The sequence below is a fragment of the Homo sapiens genome, chromosome 2 (assembly GCF_000001405.40).
Source record: "Homo sapiens chromosome 2, GRCh38.p14 Primary Assembly".
In the NCBI taxonomy this organism is placed as follows: Eukaryota; Metazoa; Chordata; class Mammalia; order Primates; family Hominidae; genus Homo; species Homo sapiens.
The window spans coordinates 138,668,949-138,687,918 of record NC_000002.12 but is presented as its reverse complement, the minus strand read 5'-3'; the positions used below and the strand labels follow the sequence as shown (position 1 = coordinate 138,687,918).

The 18,970-nt window shown below is 36.8% G+C and overlaps 1 protein-coding gene across 1 annotated transcript in view, besides 1 other annotated feature; it reads left to right on the top strand.

Annotated features, from left to right (window-relative positions):
• Positions 1–18,762, top strand: part of NXPH2 (neurexophilin 2) — a 111,234-nt gene extending 92,472 nt beyond the window's left edge. The window contains exon 2 of the mRNA NM_007226.3: positions 16,254–18,762. Coding sequence (NP_009157.1) covers positions 16,254–16,997 — 744 coding nt within the window. The 3' untranslated portion in view covers positions 16,998–18,762. The remainder of the gene's footprint in view (positions 1–16,253) is intronic.
• Positions 16,561–17,284: an enhancer, noted in NCBI's record as "OCT4-NANOG-H3K27ac-H3K4me1 hESC enhancer chr2:139428205-139428928 (GRCh37/hg19 assembly coordinates)". NCBI's record gives its function as "activates a minimal SCP1, AML or CMV promoter by ChIP-STARR-seq in naive H9 embryonic stem cells {active_cell/tissue: H9 hESC(naive)}" and the evidence as "EXISTENCE:reporter gene assay evidence [ECO:0000049][PMID:30033119]".
• Positions 18,763–18,970: the final 208 nt, after the last annotated feature.

Here is an 18,970-nt window from a genome sequence, read left to right as displayed (position 1 = left end):
TACTAGTACCAAAACAGAGATATAGACCAATGGAACAGAACAGAGCCCTCAGAAATAATACCACACATCTACAACCATCTGATCTTTGACAAACCTGACAAAAACAAGAAATAAGGAAAGGATTCCCTATTTAATAAATGGTGCTGGGAAAACTGGCTAGCCATATGTAGAAAGCTGAAACTTGATCCCTTCCTTACACCTTATACAAAAATTAATTCAAAATGGATTAAAGACTTAAATGTTAGACCTAAAGCCATAAAACCCTATAAGAAAACCTAGAGTTTTCTAGGCATGGGCAAGGACTTCATGTCTAAAACACCAAAAGCAATAGAAACAAAAGCCAAAATTGACAAATGGGATCTAATTACACTAAACAGCTTCTGCACAGCAAAAGAAACTACCATCAGAGTGAACAGGCAACCTACAGAATGGGAGAAAATTTTTGCAATCTACTCATCTGACAAAGGGCTAATATCCAGAATCTACAAAGAACTCAAACAAATTTACAAGAAAAAAAACAACCCCATCAAAAAGACGGTGAAGTATATGAACAGACACTTCTCAAAAGAAGACATTTATGCAGCCAAAAGACACATGAAAAAATGCTCATCATCACTGGCCATCAGAGAAATGCAAATCAAAACCACAATGAGATACCATCTCACACCAGTTAGAATGGCAAACATTAAAAAGTCAGGAAACAACAGGTGCTGGAGAGGATGTGGAGAAATAGGAACATTTTTACACTGTTGGTGGGACTGTAAACTAGTTCAACCATTGTGGAAGACAGTGTGGCGATTCCTCAAGGATCTAGAACTAGAAATACCATTTGACCCAGCCATCCCATTACTGGGTATATACCCAAAAAATTATAAATCATGCTGCTATAAAGACACATGCACACATATGTTTATTGCGGCACTATTCACAATAGCAAAGACTTGGAACCAACCCAAATGTCCATCAATGATAGACTGGATTAAGAAAATGTGGCACATATACACCATGGAATACTATGCAGCCATAAAAAAGGATGAGTTCATGTCCTTTGTAGGGACATGGATGAAGCTGGAAACCATCATTCTCAGCACACTATTGCAAGGACAAAAAAAACAAACACCGCATATTCTCACTCATAGGTGGGAATTGAACAATGAGAACACACGGACACAGGAAGGGGAACATCACACACTGGGGCCTGTTGTGGGGTGGGAGGAGTGGGGAGGGATAGCATTAGGAGATATACCTAATGTAAATGACGAGTTAATGGGTGCAGCACACCAACATGGCACATGTATACATATGTAACAAACTTGCACGTTGTGCACATGTACCCTAGAACTTAAAGTATAATAAAAAAATAAAATAAAATAAATAAATAACAATTTCTACAACTTTTTGTGCATCAATCATACCTCAATAAAGTAGCTTTTTTTGAAAGACAAAAAAAAAGACATCTCACAGCTAAATTTGCATTTTAGAAAATTTACTGGGCCTAATTCCTAATGGGTGGAGCTTAACATGAAATGATGGCAAGAGAGAGACAGTGCCTCTTCCTGTGGTCTGAATCATCTCTTAATTCCAGGACAGTCCTGTTGAACCTTTTCCAGGACTTCTGAGACAGATACGGGAAGAGGTTGCTGGTGGGAGAGAAGAGAAAGAAGACCCCACTAGGAGATCACCAGAGAAGTAGAAAAGGCTTTGATTTTTATCTCCTTAACAAATAATTCCAGATGCCAGGAAAGACGCCCCTCATTTCCATTATATTTCCTGGTTGACTGCTTTATTGATTAAGTTTTAATTAGGATTTAAAACATTTCCCAAAGTGGTCTAAGGAAATAAAAAGTTGTGAGAGGTCCAGGCAGTTACACACTTCCAGTCAGATTTATTTTTTCAATTTTTGTTAGGTACTTATTGTAAATCAGACATCATAAGAGGGGCTAGAGACATACGATGAATAAGATCAAGTAGCAGCCATCAAGGAATATACAAGAGGAAGAACCAAGTCAAAAAACAAAAATGATAATAATAAACAGTGTGACAAGCATGGTGACCTATACTTTGATGGTTTACTCTGGGAGCAGCATGGAGAGACACTTGGCCCTAAGTCCAAACCTGTGATTAAGTCACCATCAAGTAACCTTATATAGATTGTCCCCAGCTTACTTTGGTTCAACTTAAGATTTTTCAACTTTGTAGTGTTATGAAAGCAATAAGCATTTAGTAGAACATCAATAAATTACATAAGATATTCAACACTTTATTATAAAATGAGCTTTGTGTGAGAGGATTTTGCCCAACTATAGTTGCCCAACTAAAGTAAGAGTTCTGAGCACATTTAAGGTAGATTAGGCTAAGCTATGACGATCAGTAGGTTAAGCGTATTAAATGCATTTTCAATTTATGATATCTTCAACTTAAATTGAGTTTATTGGGACATAACCCCATGGTAAGTCAAGGTGAATCTATAACTAGGTTCTGTGGAGGATACAAGAAAGCAACAGGCATAACTGAGTTAATGAAAGTAAGATATTTACACATGAGCATATCTATTAAAATCAAACAGGCTCTCCAGAGATACAGAAACAGTAAGATAGAGAGGTAGATATCTCAAGAGCTGTATTTCAAGGAATTGGCTCACATGATTATAGGGATTGACAAGTTCAAAATCCATAGGCAGATCAGCAAGCTGGGAATTCTTGGGCAGGAGTTGATGCTGCCATCTTGAGGCACAATTTCATCTTTTTCAAGGAAACCTCAGTTTTGCTTTTAAGGCATTCTAGCTGATTGAATAAGGCCAACCCCAATAATCAAGAATAACCTTTTTAACTTAAAATCAACTGATTGGTCTGGAGAAAACACCAAAGATGTGGCTGGGCAACTTTTGCCAAAGACACATGGATGCAATCTGTCATCTCAGCAGAGACCAGGAATAGAGATGCAGATATCCAGTGAAGATGTGTGGAAAGCCCTCTTGTTGATGGGTTAAACTCCCATGAATTTCACAGGAGACTGAAAAAGTTTTGAAAATTTTATACTGCCAGTAATATTGCCAGCCTGGACTGATAGGGACAGAGAAGGGAAGAAATGAAGGGAGCATGACTCTGAGGGCAGATCCATGGATGTAAAGGGGACTCTTGGGCTAAGAGGGCAGGGCAGCCACCCCAGCAAGTCCAGAGGACAATGAGCTTGCTCCTGCCCGGAACAGTCCCAGTTCCTTCTGGTCTGGACTTGGATGGCAAATGCTGAAACAGGAAAGTGTCATCCAGGATTTAGGGAGGTCTAGATAAAATTGACCCTGATTTGGATTTAGATTTTACTTGTAGTGATTGCAAGATCTTTTTTCCAGAGCATTTGACCTATTATGCAACTAAATACTGTATATTGTTCTTAAAAATAAAGATTATATATAAAATATGGATCATTTATATTACAGATAGAAAATATGAATTAAATATTAAAATGTTAACAGTTATCAGACTTTAATTTTTCTGTTTTCTTAGTTTCATTTTCTAGAATAAACTTTTTACTTTATAATGAGAAAAATTGTTTTTTATTTATAAGGCAAATATATTAATCAGGTTTTTTTGTTATTTGACTTTTTGTTTTGTTTTGTTTGTTTTTGGTGTTGAGTCTCATTAGAGTATTACTATAGAAAGTACAATGGCCTTATACAAAGACCAGATTCCTAGGTTTATTGCTGCCTCTCAATACTTGGACCTTGGACAAGCCACTTAACCTCTCTAAGGCTATTTCCTGCCCTACATACCTCATAAAGTAGATGTAAGAATCAAATGAGGTTATTTGTGAAGGCTCTGTAATTCTCATTAGAAATGTCAGGAATGATTATTGCAAAAATACTTTTAACACAATTATCAGTTTCAAATGCACAAGTAATAGGCATTTATATTTTCAGTTGATAGATATTTTATAGTTTGTAAACTGTCACTGAACTTAAAAACATATTTATATTGGATCATAATGAAGTAGCATATTTATGTAGGATCTTGTAAAAATCCCCAATACACTGTGAATATTTACATTTAAGTGAAATACTGTACTATGTATCTAAGAAAGTTGGAAAATTTATTTTAAATTAACAAATGTCATGTTTGGTGAAAGAATGTAACCAATAAATTAATGCTAACATCATGAACAAACACAACAACAGCAAAAAGTGGACTGATTGTAGATACAAATCATATCTACAAAATCCCTTCATGGTAACACCTAAATTAGTGTTTGGTTAACTGGATACTGTAGCCTAGCCAAATGGACACATAAAACTCACCATCACAGTGAGTATGTGCTAATTGCCAAATTAATGGTACCTGAAGACCGAAATATTAAATGGATTTGATAGTAAAATACAAAGCATACACAAAGTCACTTTTCCAAACCCACACCGCGTGTGTCTTCTTCCTCCCCTGTATACGTCTCCTCATCCCTCACTGAAACTCTGCCGAAAATGGCATGGAAATAGAATAATCTGGCATTACTATTCCTCACTTGACTGTTCTTCCCTCCATTGCAACTTTCCTTTTTAAATGCCAACTTTTAGCGGTCAAGACATAGATTCATGTTGTCTCTCCCAGGCCATTATATTTCAGAAGTATATATGTGTTCCCATCATGTGAAGCTCATGTCTCTCATTGAAAACTTGAATGATGAAAGTAGACAGTGCCACTTGCCATGCTGAGTCACTTACTCCTTAGCAACAAAAGCAGTATTTCAGTCTACTAGATTATCAAAAGAATACCTTGTTTGACTTCGCAAAACTTGTATTGAGACTGTGATCTGACCATTTTTAACTCAGGACACACAGCCATATCATATTTAGCAGCCCCTTCCAACAAAGCATCTTTAACATTTGTTTCCAGCCCGTTCATAATTTGTTAAAGAGCTCTGTTAATTCAGCTTTCTAATACAAAATAAAATCTAAGTTTTCTTTGACACTATCCTCCTAAATATTTACAGAGAACTATGGTATGTGCATGCATACATGATATTTCTGTGTGTCTAGAGTGTGTAGGCATGCGTGCATGCATGTGTGTGTGTACTGAATTTTTTGCAGAGGTTGGTGTCACTGATTTTTCAGATTACTGTCATCAAGATAAAATAAGAATTGCCATATTTAACCTTAGCAATAAAACTACTGCCAAGCATTGCAATCTAGGTTTTTTGGCTCTTACTGCTAAGATTTCTGTCTTCACATTTATGTTTCCTGTTAGTTCCTGTATCAATTTAGAATAACGTAAAGGGTAGCTATTAAAAGATATCTGGAAGGTAAAATGAATTTGCCACTCTCAGCAGAAAGGATGTCCACTGTTTAGCTTTCTTCTCCTAAGCAATCATTTGTTTTTCAACTTACAAAATGAATTTTGGAACAATGCCACATTATGCCACAAAATATTAATAGGTACAATTAGTACATTGATATATGTTTGATTCTATCATTTTTCATTCTTTTTTTGTCATTCTTCTTTTAATCTACTGTGACAGTTCTGTAATGGAGCACCAGAAATATGACTCTAGGGCAAGCCATACTACTAATCATCAATACAGCATTGTATGCTGTCCGGCAGATGCATGTTCCTGTTTTGTCAGCAGGGATGACATTCTGCAAAATTTCTACCCAGAGAAATGCTTTCCAAGATTTGTTTACAAGCAATAAATTTAATGGTATGCTGAATTTGATCATTAATTATATATTTTGTTTGTTATATTCAAATGGGATGCCGATAAAATTGATCATGACAGGGTTTTGGGTTTTTTTCTGTTGTTCTTTCTGCTGAGCAACTTGTCATTTTAGTTTTAGCTGCAGGATATAGGACAGTACTGTCAAAGCAATCTAACTATGTAAGCTATATGTAAGCAACTCAAATGAGGCTTTGAACCACCTTTTATTATTGGTTCTATAATTCTTCAACTGTAAAGGGATCTGTAAGCCACCTCTAGATTGTATAATAGCGGTCACTTTGGGGTTCTTGGCTTAAATTAATAACCCCAGTGAAATCATTAATGACCACCAATATAGATCCCATCGTTAACAACACCATGAACAAGTCCATTCAGAAAACCACTTATTCTTCCAAACTTGCACTTAGCAATGGTCATCATTCTGAAACAACAATAATAAATACTTATAGGGTATCCAAGACCGAAAAGCCAGCTGCCTTTAAAAAAATATTTGTACTGATCTGTATGAAATTTTCTCTAGTAGAATATGCCAGTCCTGTTATCAAGGAAAAGCCAACTTTCTCTCCCGGCTTGCTGCAAATCCACACATTTGGAGTATTCAGCTCATTCAGCTTAGTCCTGGAAAGTCAAAATTTTCTTCTTTGATAAGTAGAGGACTACATATTTTTGGTGTACTATAAAATAGTTACAACATTCCTTCTTAGTGGTAGGTGATCTATGCAATCTATGCATTGTGTATTATATATGTTATAGCAAGTGCTTCATATTAAACCAGTAAAGACATAACACTTTATATTGAGTATAAACACAGAAATCTGAAAACATTCTCTTAAAGTATAGATGCCTCTTCAATTTTATGATTATGGGGGGAAATTAGGTTGTTTTGCTTTGCCTTCCATTTAGAACAATCAGTAATCCCTGTGAAAACTATGGGTGTTACCTACATTTATTTTCTGTTAGCATATTTTTAACACACCTATAAACATAAAGACAACTCTATATTGTTTCAGAGTATTCTTTTTAATCCATAGTTACCTAATTATCAAGTAGCACTAATACATATTATATTGATTATATAGAAGAGGGCTATAGCATAATCATGACAAAGGGTTAACTGTCTCAGAACCCAAGACTGCATCTTATGCACCTTCAAAAGCTCTTTGGAGGTAGAAAGGTGAAAGGCCAGGCCTGCTGAGGTCATCACTTCCAAGCTCTGTAGCTGGTAGCTGCAAGTCAGGAATTCAGCAAAGACTGAACATCGGAGCCTGTTTATGGTCATGAAAATAGTCACCAAGTTAGCCTTTCACTGGGAAAAAAATATAACTGTTGTCTTAACAATGTTATCACACTCTCATTAGTAATTATAAACAAATCAATATACAATTTGGAACCAGATACAAAGGAGTATAAATTCCAAGATCAATTGGTTTTCTTGTCACAAATTCATTGTTTATCAACTATCAGCCAGTAAGTCCTGGATTTCATTTCACTCATCCAAATAAAGATATTAATTGTTTAGTTCTGTTCACTCCCTGCCCTGTTGCTTACCCTGTTCCCTTAATTAGGATTAGCATTTCCACCTTCTGATATACCGAGATGTATATATATATAGAGAGAGAGAGAACAAGAGATGGGACCTTATGAGAACTATGACTAGGTGAATTGCTTCACCCCCTTGCTGTCTGCAAATTGTCTGAAGACAGGACCTGTGTCTGTCCTGCTCAGCAGTGTACTCTCAGTGCCTACAGCACAAATGTGGGCTCCTGAAATGTGTTTGAAAAGTGTGTGTCAAATAAGTGTTTAAAAAAATGAACTCATACATTTGTGAACCTGGTTGAGGGTCTCCTCACTTCTCTGGGGTGCAGTATTCACCTCCTTACAAGTATTCCTACCTGTAGACAAGCCTCACTCTAATTCACTTTCCACTTTGCAGCCTCCTTCATCTCTTTGAAGTGCAACCATATCTTGTGCTTTTCACCATTTTACTATTAAGAAAACCAAGCTCAGAGAGGGAATGTGGCTTGCACAGTGTGCTGGGATGGTTAAGTTACAGCACCCATTAACCATTTTTATGCTCCTGATGCCAAATCCTTCTAATAAATCAAAGCACTTCTGTTCCTGTCTCTTGCTCTTCCCTGCTTGTCCTGATTGACTTCATTGCCCCTCCTTTTCTTATTCATTTCTTTGCTCTTGGGACAATTTTTCTGATTGGGTAAATTCAGCCACTGGAGGACGCAGTGACAGATCTTTTTCTGCAATGCACTGATTTGATTGGGACACTCCACTTTTTCTTCTCAGTCCAATGATTAGCCAGTACAATGTTAGAATACAATAATATTCCTGTGATTGCAGGTATAGGCAAAATCAGTGAAGCAATAAACTTAATCCTGCAAAAATAAAATAGTATTTTTGTGGAAATATTTCTAAACTGATTTACGCTTTCCATTTTCTTAAATAGGGTGTGTTAATGTCACCTAGTCTCTTCTTGCTGAGTCAGAAAGGGCATATATTCAGGCCTCGGCCCGGCGCAGTGGCTCACGCCTGTAATCCCAACACTTTGGGAGGCAGAGGCGGGTGGATCACCTGAGGTCTGGAGTTTGAGACCAGCATGAACAACATGGAGAAACCTCGTCTCTAGTAAAAATACAAAATTAGCCGGGCGTGGTGGCGAATGCCTGTAAACCCAGCTACTCGGGAGTCTGAGGCAGGAGAATGGCGTGAACCCGGGAGGTGGAGCTTGCAGTGAGCCGAGATCGCGCCACTGCACTCCAGCCTGAGCAACCGAGCGAGACTCCGTCTCAAAAAAAAAAAAAAAAAATTCAGGCCTCTCCTACTCCCCCGCTGCCACGTAGGTGAAGAGTCAATATGTGCTAATAAACTTGTCATTTAGACTTGCTAAACACTGGCCTAGGACAGCAAGGGTGGTGGCAATATCTCTTCTCTTAGTGTATCTGTAAGTAACAAAAGTACCACCTATTAGGACTGTTCTGATAAAGGCATGATTTACATTAAATGGAAGTTGAACCCCAGAAGCTCAAAGTTTTAAATGCTTTTTGTTTAGTTTTCGTTATTCAGTGAGTGTGGAGAAATCTCTTCCCTTTGCGGTTCAGGATTCAACCCAACATGTAGCTCCGGAGAAGAAGCGGAGCTATCACAATGATGAACCTGTAGGAAAGCGTTATCCTATAAACGTGGAAAATATCTGACTGTCATAGAACCCAGAGGAAACCAAGTAGCGTTTGTGTCCCTGCACCACCCAGAGCACTACATATAGAATCATCCTTAGTGATGTTTTCTTTCATTAGCTCCCTTCCCTTTGATAAACAAGTTGACCTACAAAGAAAGCCGCACCTAAAGACTGATCCTTTCTCACTGGATGTGTAGAATAAAGTAAAATGGGCAGGCTCCTAAACTGAGAAGGGATATTTGATTCTAATGTAGTCAGCAAGTAATTCTAATTCTGTATAAGATATTCATAGAATAAGCTCTTTTTTATAGAGCTATCAACTATCAAAGTGGGTACAATTTTTAGGGAATTAATATTAAATAAAAATAAAATAGCAATATGAATAATGGTGATGACAGACACATTAACAACATGTAAAATTGCCAGGATAATTTAGAAATAGTCTGTAAATTCCTAAACAACTCTGAGGTTATTTTAGATAATTCAGTGATACTGTAAAGAGTTATAAATTGAAATTTTGGAGTTCCTGACTTAAAAAAAAAAAATCCTAAACCAAGTGCCACGGAATTAAAGGTAATTTCAACTAAGGTTATAATAACAACAGTCTGCAACCCTTATGAGAATTCTGAAAGCAAAACCTTAAAAAGATACATTTGCTCTACCTCAGCCAGATCCAGATTAACATTACAGTGGCACGTCACAGTGACAAGTTGCTTAACATTTACCCTTGAGAGGGAGTGATGAAAGCCGCACTTTACCTCTGTGTATTTCCTCCTCAAAACCCCTAACCCTAGCGTAATCATGAGAAAAATATAGAATAAAGCAAAATTGAAGGGTATTCTACAAAATATCTGCCAGGTACTTCAGAAAACATTTAAGTTCATCCAAAACAAGGAAAGTCAGAGAAACTTGTAACCAAGACAAGTTGAGAATCTTTGTAACCTAAGGATTGGTGATGACCAAATTTAATGTGGGATCCTGCACAGGATGCTGGAGCAAATAAAAGACATTAAAGAAAAACTAAGAAGATCCAATTAAAGTATGGACTTTAGTTAGTAATAATGTATCAATATTGGTTTAATAGTTGTGGCAAATATACTATAGTGTTAGATGTTAACGGTAGGGGATACCGAGTGCAGTGTCTGGGTGCAGGGTCTATGGGAACTCTGTATTATGCAGCTTTTCTGTAAACTAAAATTATTCCAAAATAAAAATGTTTATTAAAAAATATATAGCGAATACAGTTTAAAAAGTCTCTTCTGATATAATGTTTGCAGAGGAAGATGCTTTTTAGTTTATAAATTATTTCCATAATTTGTGACAGGTCTCACATCTGCTACTATAAAATTCATTGCAGCTTCTCTGCCTCTTGGGAAAAAATGCATTTAATTATCAGTAAAATTCAACTTTAGCTTGTTATGATGAATGATTTGAACCTGTCAGCTTTTCCCCCCTAAAAACAAAAGAACCAAAATGAAATACAGTCTTATTCTTCTACTCCCTTCCTTCCACCTGCTTCATTTAATTGATGAAGGCTTCTGCATTTATTAATCTTTTTGAGCTCTTCTGTAAGACGCAGAAAAAGCTAATATGATATCATTGTATCTAGCTAATGTGTGTGCTTTGTGAAATTGATACACCCTGCCAAGACATAAATTACTTAAGCTTTGATAAATGTGTTGAAATCAAGGAATGTTCAAACAGATAAAGCACAGCAATTTTTCTTTCTTCCCCTTTGTAAAACTCCATTTTATGCTTGAGGTTAAATGTTTTTGCATTATTATTATAATATGATGGGGGAAAAGACAGCAGGGATACTGAAATTAGCCCGAAGAGCCCCAGCAAATACAAAAGTAACCAGGAATATACAGCTACGTGTTTTGTAAATAACATTTAACAATCTTGCCTTGGACAGAGTGGATTACCAACAGATTCAGAGCCACCTACATTCTTCTCACAGCATGTTGTATCACAGAAATTGTCTGTTCAGGAATGAGGGCACCTGCCAGACACTTTATATTCTCAGCTCCCTTTGCTGATTCATGTAGTAGATTGGAATCAAAGATCTACAAACACATTTTGTTGGCAAAGAGAGCTCACCTGGGATTTGGATGTGACTCAGATGCCAGTAAGACTAGAAACATAGGGAAACATTTGATTGATGTTCTGGGGTTGAGTGGGTTGATTTCTACTTGGTCATTAATTTATCACATGGCACTGAACAAGTTGCTCAATTAACCATTAATCAGTTTCCTGGAGGCTTGAGAATTCATAGAAACCTTTGGAGACACTTCTTGAGTAGGAGGCATGAGATTATCCATTGGACCATGGAAGAGCCATCAGTCATCGAATGCCTTAATAGGCCCAGTAATTTCCGTCCATTCTTTTAGTCCTTACAGCCAAACAGCAAAGGAGATGTAGGTGAGAAAACTGAGGTTCATGTCACACACTTGAGCAAGGGGTGACAATGGCATTAGGCAATAAATCCTGTGCTCTGATATGATGGAAACATCATATCAGGCTGCTTCCCTATTGGGAATACATGGGTAAGCAGTGGGGAGGTGGGAAGGGTTGTGGCTCATCAGCCTCCAGTCTTCTGATTAGGTCTTCATGTTGAGCATGTGGACTGGGGACTTAGGTCATATAACCATCTAGGTAGACCTGGTGTAGAAAAGGGTGCCTGAGCTCTCAACAGTGATGTTATAAAGTGATGATTAATAACAAGAGGAAGGCTGAACAAGTTACACCAAGGCTGAAAGTTGGGAGGGGAGATAAAATTGTCATCTGTTTAAAGACATAGAGAAATATATTTGCCCTTTACATTATATTCTTCTACCAGTAAACCACTGTCAGATAGCTTTTTGAGATTTGGGTTTAGATTTGGAAGTCAGCACTTGTGAGAACTGTACGTGTATTTTAAAGTAATAAACGGATGAGGTTGTACACAGTTTTACCAACTTGGCTAATGTTGTTGTCAAAACAAGCTAGAAATATGATGTGCTAAGGAAAGCCAAATTTTAAAAAAAAGTGCTTTTATATAGATTTATACACACACACACACACACACACACACACATATGTATATATATGTACTTTTTACCTAAGGTACTGCCAGTGAATGCTGTCACTGGAAGAGAGAAACATTATATATCTTTGCTATTAGCTAAATTTTATTACTTTTTATTACATTGACTAATCTTAAAATCAAGGGCTCTTTGAACAGGTTTGGACCTCAACAGTAGTGTGTTAGAATGATTTTTTTTTAGAAATCTAATTTCATTTCAAATTCTCATATAGGGAACCTTTTCCAAAGAATAAAACAACTTTTGTAAAAGCAAATAATGACACTCAATTTATCTGTTTGAAAGCTTAGAATGTTTTCTGCTTTCATTTTTTTAAAGAGAGTCACATATATTTGGTTCATGTTCTCTTACAACATAAACTGCTATCAGGAAAGTTTTCAGATCTTTGAAAATATCTCAGTAATGTCCTATTGCTATTATTATTACTATTATTATTATTATTGAGTAATCTCAGAACCATCACAATGGAAGTACTAGTGATAAGAGAAGGATCTCTTAAGGTATCAGTGTCTATCATGTATTTGAAAGTGCACCAAGATCAGCTAAGACTACATGATTGCAAAACTTACTGATTGTTGAATGATGGGCTCAATTTTTATGAGTTTATCAGTAATGTGAAAGTGAGGAGAAAATTGGGCAAAGCACTAAAACAAGAAAAATGAACCAGGCAGAAAAAAATTTAGGGAAACATATAACATTAAACAAGCACTTTAAAGAAAAAGAGGGCATATTGCTGCTGATAAAAGAATATTTTTATACTTGTGGTTGAAAAAATACTTTTGAATGAAAAATGTATTTTAGTTCTGCTGATAAAGTGTCATGGTATTTGTAATAAAGCAATTGATATTATGATATATAAAGGTAAGAATCAAGACATATTTTTAAAAGCAAGCTTAAAAGGGAAAATGTCAGAAGGGCTCTATCCCATGAAACAGGAGAAGGAAGGTGGGAGTGAGGGAAGAAGTTCAGAAGCTGTACCAAATCAGGGAATAGAGATTGGGAAGTAAGGGAGCACTTCTTGTAAACCAGATGTTCCGCAAATGGTAGGTGTGTCTGCAAGCATTTACCAAGCAGGGTGAATCTCATTAAATACTGGAAACAGGTGAAAAATAGGTAGTAGACTATGGGCAGCAAGAATCATGATCACAGAAGAGAAATTGGACCTTGATTAGCAAGAGCTTCTTATCTGCCCATGCATCCTTGGCCCTCTTTCTGGAGAGATGCTGGGACAGGTCACTTGGACCAGGCTGTCTCCATTCTCAGGAAACTCAAGTCAGAAGCAGAGTCTGGGTGTTGAGCTCCATGGGCTATTACCAAATGATTGGAATGAAGTTTGCACACATCATGAGTAAGAGTATTCAAGGGACTGGACATGATGGTTCGCTCCTGTAATCCCAACACTTTGAGAGGCCAAGGTAGGAGGATCACTTGAGGCTGGAGTTCAAGACCAGCCTGGGCAACATAACAAGACCTCATCTGTATAAAAATAAAAAATTAAGCCGAGCAGTGGCTCACACCTGTAATCCTGACATTTTGGGAGGCCAAGGCAGGCAGATCACTTGAGGCCAGGAGTTTGAGACCAGCCTGGCCAACATGGTGAGACCCTGTCTCCACTAAAAACACAAAAACTAGTCAGGCATGGTGGCGCATGCCTGTAATCACAGCTACTCGGGAGGCTGATGTGCAAGAATTTCTTAAACCCTGGAGGTGGAGATTGTAGTAAGCTGAGATTGCACCACTCCACTCCAGCCTGGGTGATAGAACAAGACTGTATTAAAAAAAAAGAAAAAGAAAAAAAAGAAAATTAGCCAGGCATGGTAGTGTGCACCTGTATTCCTAGCTATTCTGGAGGCTGAGGAGGGAGAATCACTTGAGCCCAGGAGTTTGAGGTTGCAGTGAGCTATGATTATGCCTCCAGCCTGGGTGACAGAGTGATATCCTGTCTCTAAAAATAAATAAATAGTATTCAAGGAACTGGAAGTCATTATGTTAAGTGAAATAAGACAGACACATATTCTCACCCATATGTAAGAGCTAAAAAACTTGATCTCATAGAAATAGAGAATTTTGATAGTACCAAAGGTTGGGAAGCATTTGAGGGTGGGGTGGGGGAAATGAAGAGAGATTGATGGATGAGTACAAACACAGTTAGATGGAAGAAATAAGTTCTAGTCCAGGCATGGTGACTCATACCTGTAATCCCAACACTTAGGGAGGATGAGGCAGGAGGATCACTTGAGGCCAGCAGCTTGAGACCACCTGGGCATCAAACTGAGACCCCATCTCTACCAAAAAAAAAAAAAAATTAATCCCATTTTTTTAAATAAAATAAAACAAGTTCTGATGTTCAAAAGCATTGTAGGGTGACTATACTATAGTTAGCAACAACGTGTTGTATATTTTAAAGTAGTTTGAAGGGAGGACTTGAAATGTTCCCAATACATAGTAGTGATAAATATTCGAGATGATGTATACCCTAAATACTCTGACTTAATCATTACACATTTTATGCATGTATCAAATACTCACGTGTACCCCCATAAATATGTAAAATATTATATACCAATAAGAGAGAAAAAAGTGTGCAAAATCAGAAAGCTGTAGTTACAGTATCAGAAATACTTTGAGCCAGAAATCCAGAGTAATGATCCCTCTTTCCCTGGGGAATCTGCCAGCCTTTCAACACCAGGAGAGAGAAAGGAGTATCAATTCAGGGTGTATAAGCCCCTAAGAAGAGGCCATATGGATTTAGGTTCTCAAAATGTAAGAATATGCATCATACCAATTTGTTCTGAATTTTTTAAAACTCCAGGAATGCGGAAGAAAATCTTCCAAGAAATTAACCAAAGAGAGAAGTATATGTTGTAGCACCTTCCCATCCTTACCAAAGCAAAAAATAATTTTAAAGAAACCTATCTATACATTTTGAGTCCTTGAATTCTTAAAGTGATTTGGGGACTAGACATAGGTGGAAACACTTTTCACAAAGCCCTGTTAGGATTTAAGCTTCTAAACTTTTATGAACATACAATAGATAACCTCGTGTTATCAAACTATACCGTCTAGTCAAATGCAGTATTTATAATCCAGGCTACGTCTCTCATTTATTTTCAAAATTGGATTGAAAGCAATAATTTTGGGAATAATCTGAAACCATTTTTACCAAGTGTTTTGCCAAGTTTGAAAGGGCTAGAGAAAGTACATAAACACAGCCTCACTTCTTTCCTCATCCATTTCATCGTGCTGACAGTTTTCTGTAGAATCATTACAAGAGTGGTTTGTGCCATTAGAGATAAGAGGCTGTGTTTCCACTAGAAACCTCTATTTTCCAGACTTTTTATAAATCATCCATAAATATTCACTCCATGCAACAGCATCATATACAGTGATCCTGTCCCTCAAAATCCATATCTACTTAACTAAATTATTTTTAGTAAACATGGGGACTCTTACACTATACAAAGAATAAAAAGAAAAATCAAATGCAAATAAAGTCTTACGTTTCGGTGGCTATGATTTGAACCAAAATACTGAGGAACCCATAAAACAATGCACATGACAGTTTCTTAGCAATTATTTTAGGATATAATTCAGTTGTAATAAAATTTATTAACTCATATATAACCTATTAATTCAAAATATACCTCTCTACATTACTTTCTGTTTTTATAAAGGCAACTAAATTTTTACTTCTATTTTTTCAACTAAAACTTTTTGTAGAACTTTCTAATCCTCATCACATGCTTTTTTGTTACAGAGTTTGAGATGGAATTATATAAAGAGCTATGAAATTACATGTTATAAGCCTTTGAATGTAATAATCCCCTTAATATTTCCAAATATACTTAAGACTTATCAATATCATTGACAGTTTTTAGCTCCTTTGTAGATACTTCAGCACTCTATTTTTGTCTTCCACCTGAAAGAAAAGAGTTGACAATTTAATGATTATATCAAATGAGAAGTCAAAATATACTACTTCCCCCAATCTGGAAAAATAGAATTGTGAAGATCAGGAAACAGAGACTAAAATCACATCAACCCATTAAAATGAAATACTTTGTTCTTAACCTCACCATTTTTAATTTTCATACTCGCAGTTTTCCATTGCTTGAATTAAATGCTTATCTTGTTACACTGTTGAGCCCGGCTGTGTGTGTGAAATGCTGTCGAACAAGAATCTAAACAATGTTGAAATAATTTCCCTTGCGCTTTGACTTCAGTTTGAGTGCGCAGTCACGGCACTAACCTAAAGTTTATTTCTCTTTCTTCTTTTCAAACAGCTATTTTGTGACAGTAAGGAAGTGGTGCATGCCACGGAGGGGCTGGATTGGGAAGACAAAGATGCTCCAGGGACGTTGGTCGGCAACGTGGTGCACTCAAGGATCATCAGTCCCCTGCGCCTGTTTGTTAAACAGTCTCCGGTGCCCAAGCCCGGCCCCATGGCGTACGCAGACAGCATGGAAAACTTTTGGGATTGGCTGGCCAACATCACGGAGATTCAGGAGCCATTGGCAAGAACTAAACGGAGGCCAATAGTAAAAACAGGAAAATTTAAGAAAATGTTTGGATGGGGTGACTTTCATTCCAACATTAAAACTGTCAAACTCAATCTCCTCATCACAGGGAAAATTGTTGACCATGGAAATGGAACCTTCAGTGTGTATTTCCGACATAATTCAACAGGCCTGGGCAATGTTTCAGTGAGCTTGGTACCACCCTCCAAGGTGGTGGAATTTGAAGTTTCCCCCCAGTCTACCTTGGAGACCAAGGAATCCAAATCTTTCAATTGTCGCATTGAGTATGAAAAAACAGATCGGGCGAAAAAGACCGCCCTGTGCAACTTTGACCCATCCAAGATCTGCTACCAGGAGCAGACTCAGAGCCATGTGTCTTGGTTGTGCTCCAAGCCCTTCAAGGTCATTTGCATTTACATTGCCTTTTACAGTGTTGATTATAAACTCGTGCAAAAGGTGTGCCCTGACTACAATTACCATAGTGAGACCCCATACTTATCTTCTGGCTGATCTTCCTGCTGTGGTGGAAATGAGGGATACATATGTATTTGATTAGAATGACAAAGAAACAAGCCCAGCTCTTTATGATAAAGGATCCCTTTTGTTTCTGGCAGTGAACAATAGTTCCCTATCAGGTTTTCAAATTTAAAAAAAGAAAAAGAGACATCTTTAAGTGTGAAATTTGTTTCTTTCTATCGTAGGTACCTTTATCTAAAAAGTTAAACTGTTTATGAAACCATCACTTTCATGCAAGATGACTAAGTTCTAGAAATCTTATTGTTTCTCTGAAAGAAACATCAATGATAGCAATATGTGACAAGAAGGAACAAAATTATGCATGTGACAAACATTGCTCTTGAAATGAGCCTGCCTTTGAAATATGTTTTGGAAGGTTACCGCAGAAACAGCAGATGCGGTAAAGGAAAAGATTGTATTTGATAGATGAATTGTGTTTTTGACATTGGACCCTTTTTTTTATATTTCTATCTTTTCCCCCATCCATCTGTGCTGTTATTGATATGAGAGAAAAAAAGGTAAAATTTGTTTCAAAATTCATGTGTGAAGTTACAGTGCCACAGTGGAACCAAGTTCCTTATCATCTGAGCTACAGTTGCGTGGAATGTGATTTGAGCACTTAGCCCTGTGTTGGTCACCATTCTTATGATTCCCCCTGAGTTTGAATACTGATGTAATGGGAAAGCAAATCTGAGAATAAGTTTGTTGAACGATAACAAAAATCATGATGTTTTTAGACTCTTCTGATAAATTCAAATGCTGTGGAATTAATCAAAAAATGACAAAATTTGTATGCATCCTATAGCTTAGAGCTTTATTCAATTCATTCGATAGTGTGATTCTTTACACATGTGTAGAACAGCTCTGAAGTTGAGTGAAAGTGCTTGTTTCCTAGACTAGAATAGAAAACAAAAGTGGGAAGTAGAGGGAGGAAATTTCAGGATTATGGATTCATTATTTCTAGCCTCCCAGATTAAGTTCCCCTTGCATTTAGTTAATATTTGAATAAGAGATCAAACTCTATGTGGAAATAGAGAGTTATATTTAAACATTTCTAATTATTAAGTGCTGACAACCAAGATACCTGGCTTACCAGACTTTTGAAATGACTTTCAAATTAATGTCACTTCACAGTCAGTGCCCTTCTCATCTTCCCTGTGGGGGTGAATAGCAGTCCTATATGGTAGAACTGAATGATCATTAAATTAGAACAGAAACAGGGGTCTGGTTGGCCAAGAAAAAGGCTTCTAGAACTCAGGACGCTCATGGAATGGTCACTCCTTTTACAATAGATGTTAACTTCTTTCTCCCTTCTTATCTGTAAAATATTAATTAAAGTAAAACATTAAATTGAGGACTAAAGGAAGAGAAGTCCTAAACAACAAGAAATACTCTTACCACACTGTTCAAAAAACCAAGAGCTCTGTTCTCTATCTTCATTTCTTTCCTTTTACCGGTAATATCTGCAGTGTTCAATTTTTGTCTTTTGTAAAAATTGTACTAAGCTTAGTGTGTGGTAGTACAGGCTTGAAGTTCTTGCTCTGAGTTCACCACATGTTTTTGTAATTTTGTGGTTGGTGATTAATATTTTGAAACATCTTTTTATTTTCACCTAGAAACAAGAGTAAAATATTATTTATTGTAAAATATGTGGGAATCATATATCTATATATATATACTTAGAATTTTCTGTGTACAGAGAAAGTATGTGTACACATTTTATGTAAATAAAAAGAATTTGCTAGATCTGTCACATTAATCCTGGGTGGTTATTTTTTAAAGACTCTGTTCTCCTTGTTTCTTTTCCTCACAAGGGCTTATTCTGTGCATGTGTGTGTGTGTGATACCAATTGAACAAGAAGGTTTCCCTTAGATACATGTTAAATAGGCATCTTGGCTGTGGAGATTTTAAAGTAGGGCAAAAGAATAACTCACATAAAACATTTTGTACATAGCATGGCATCTAG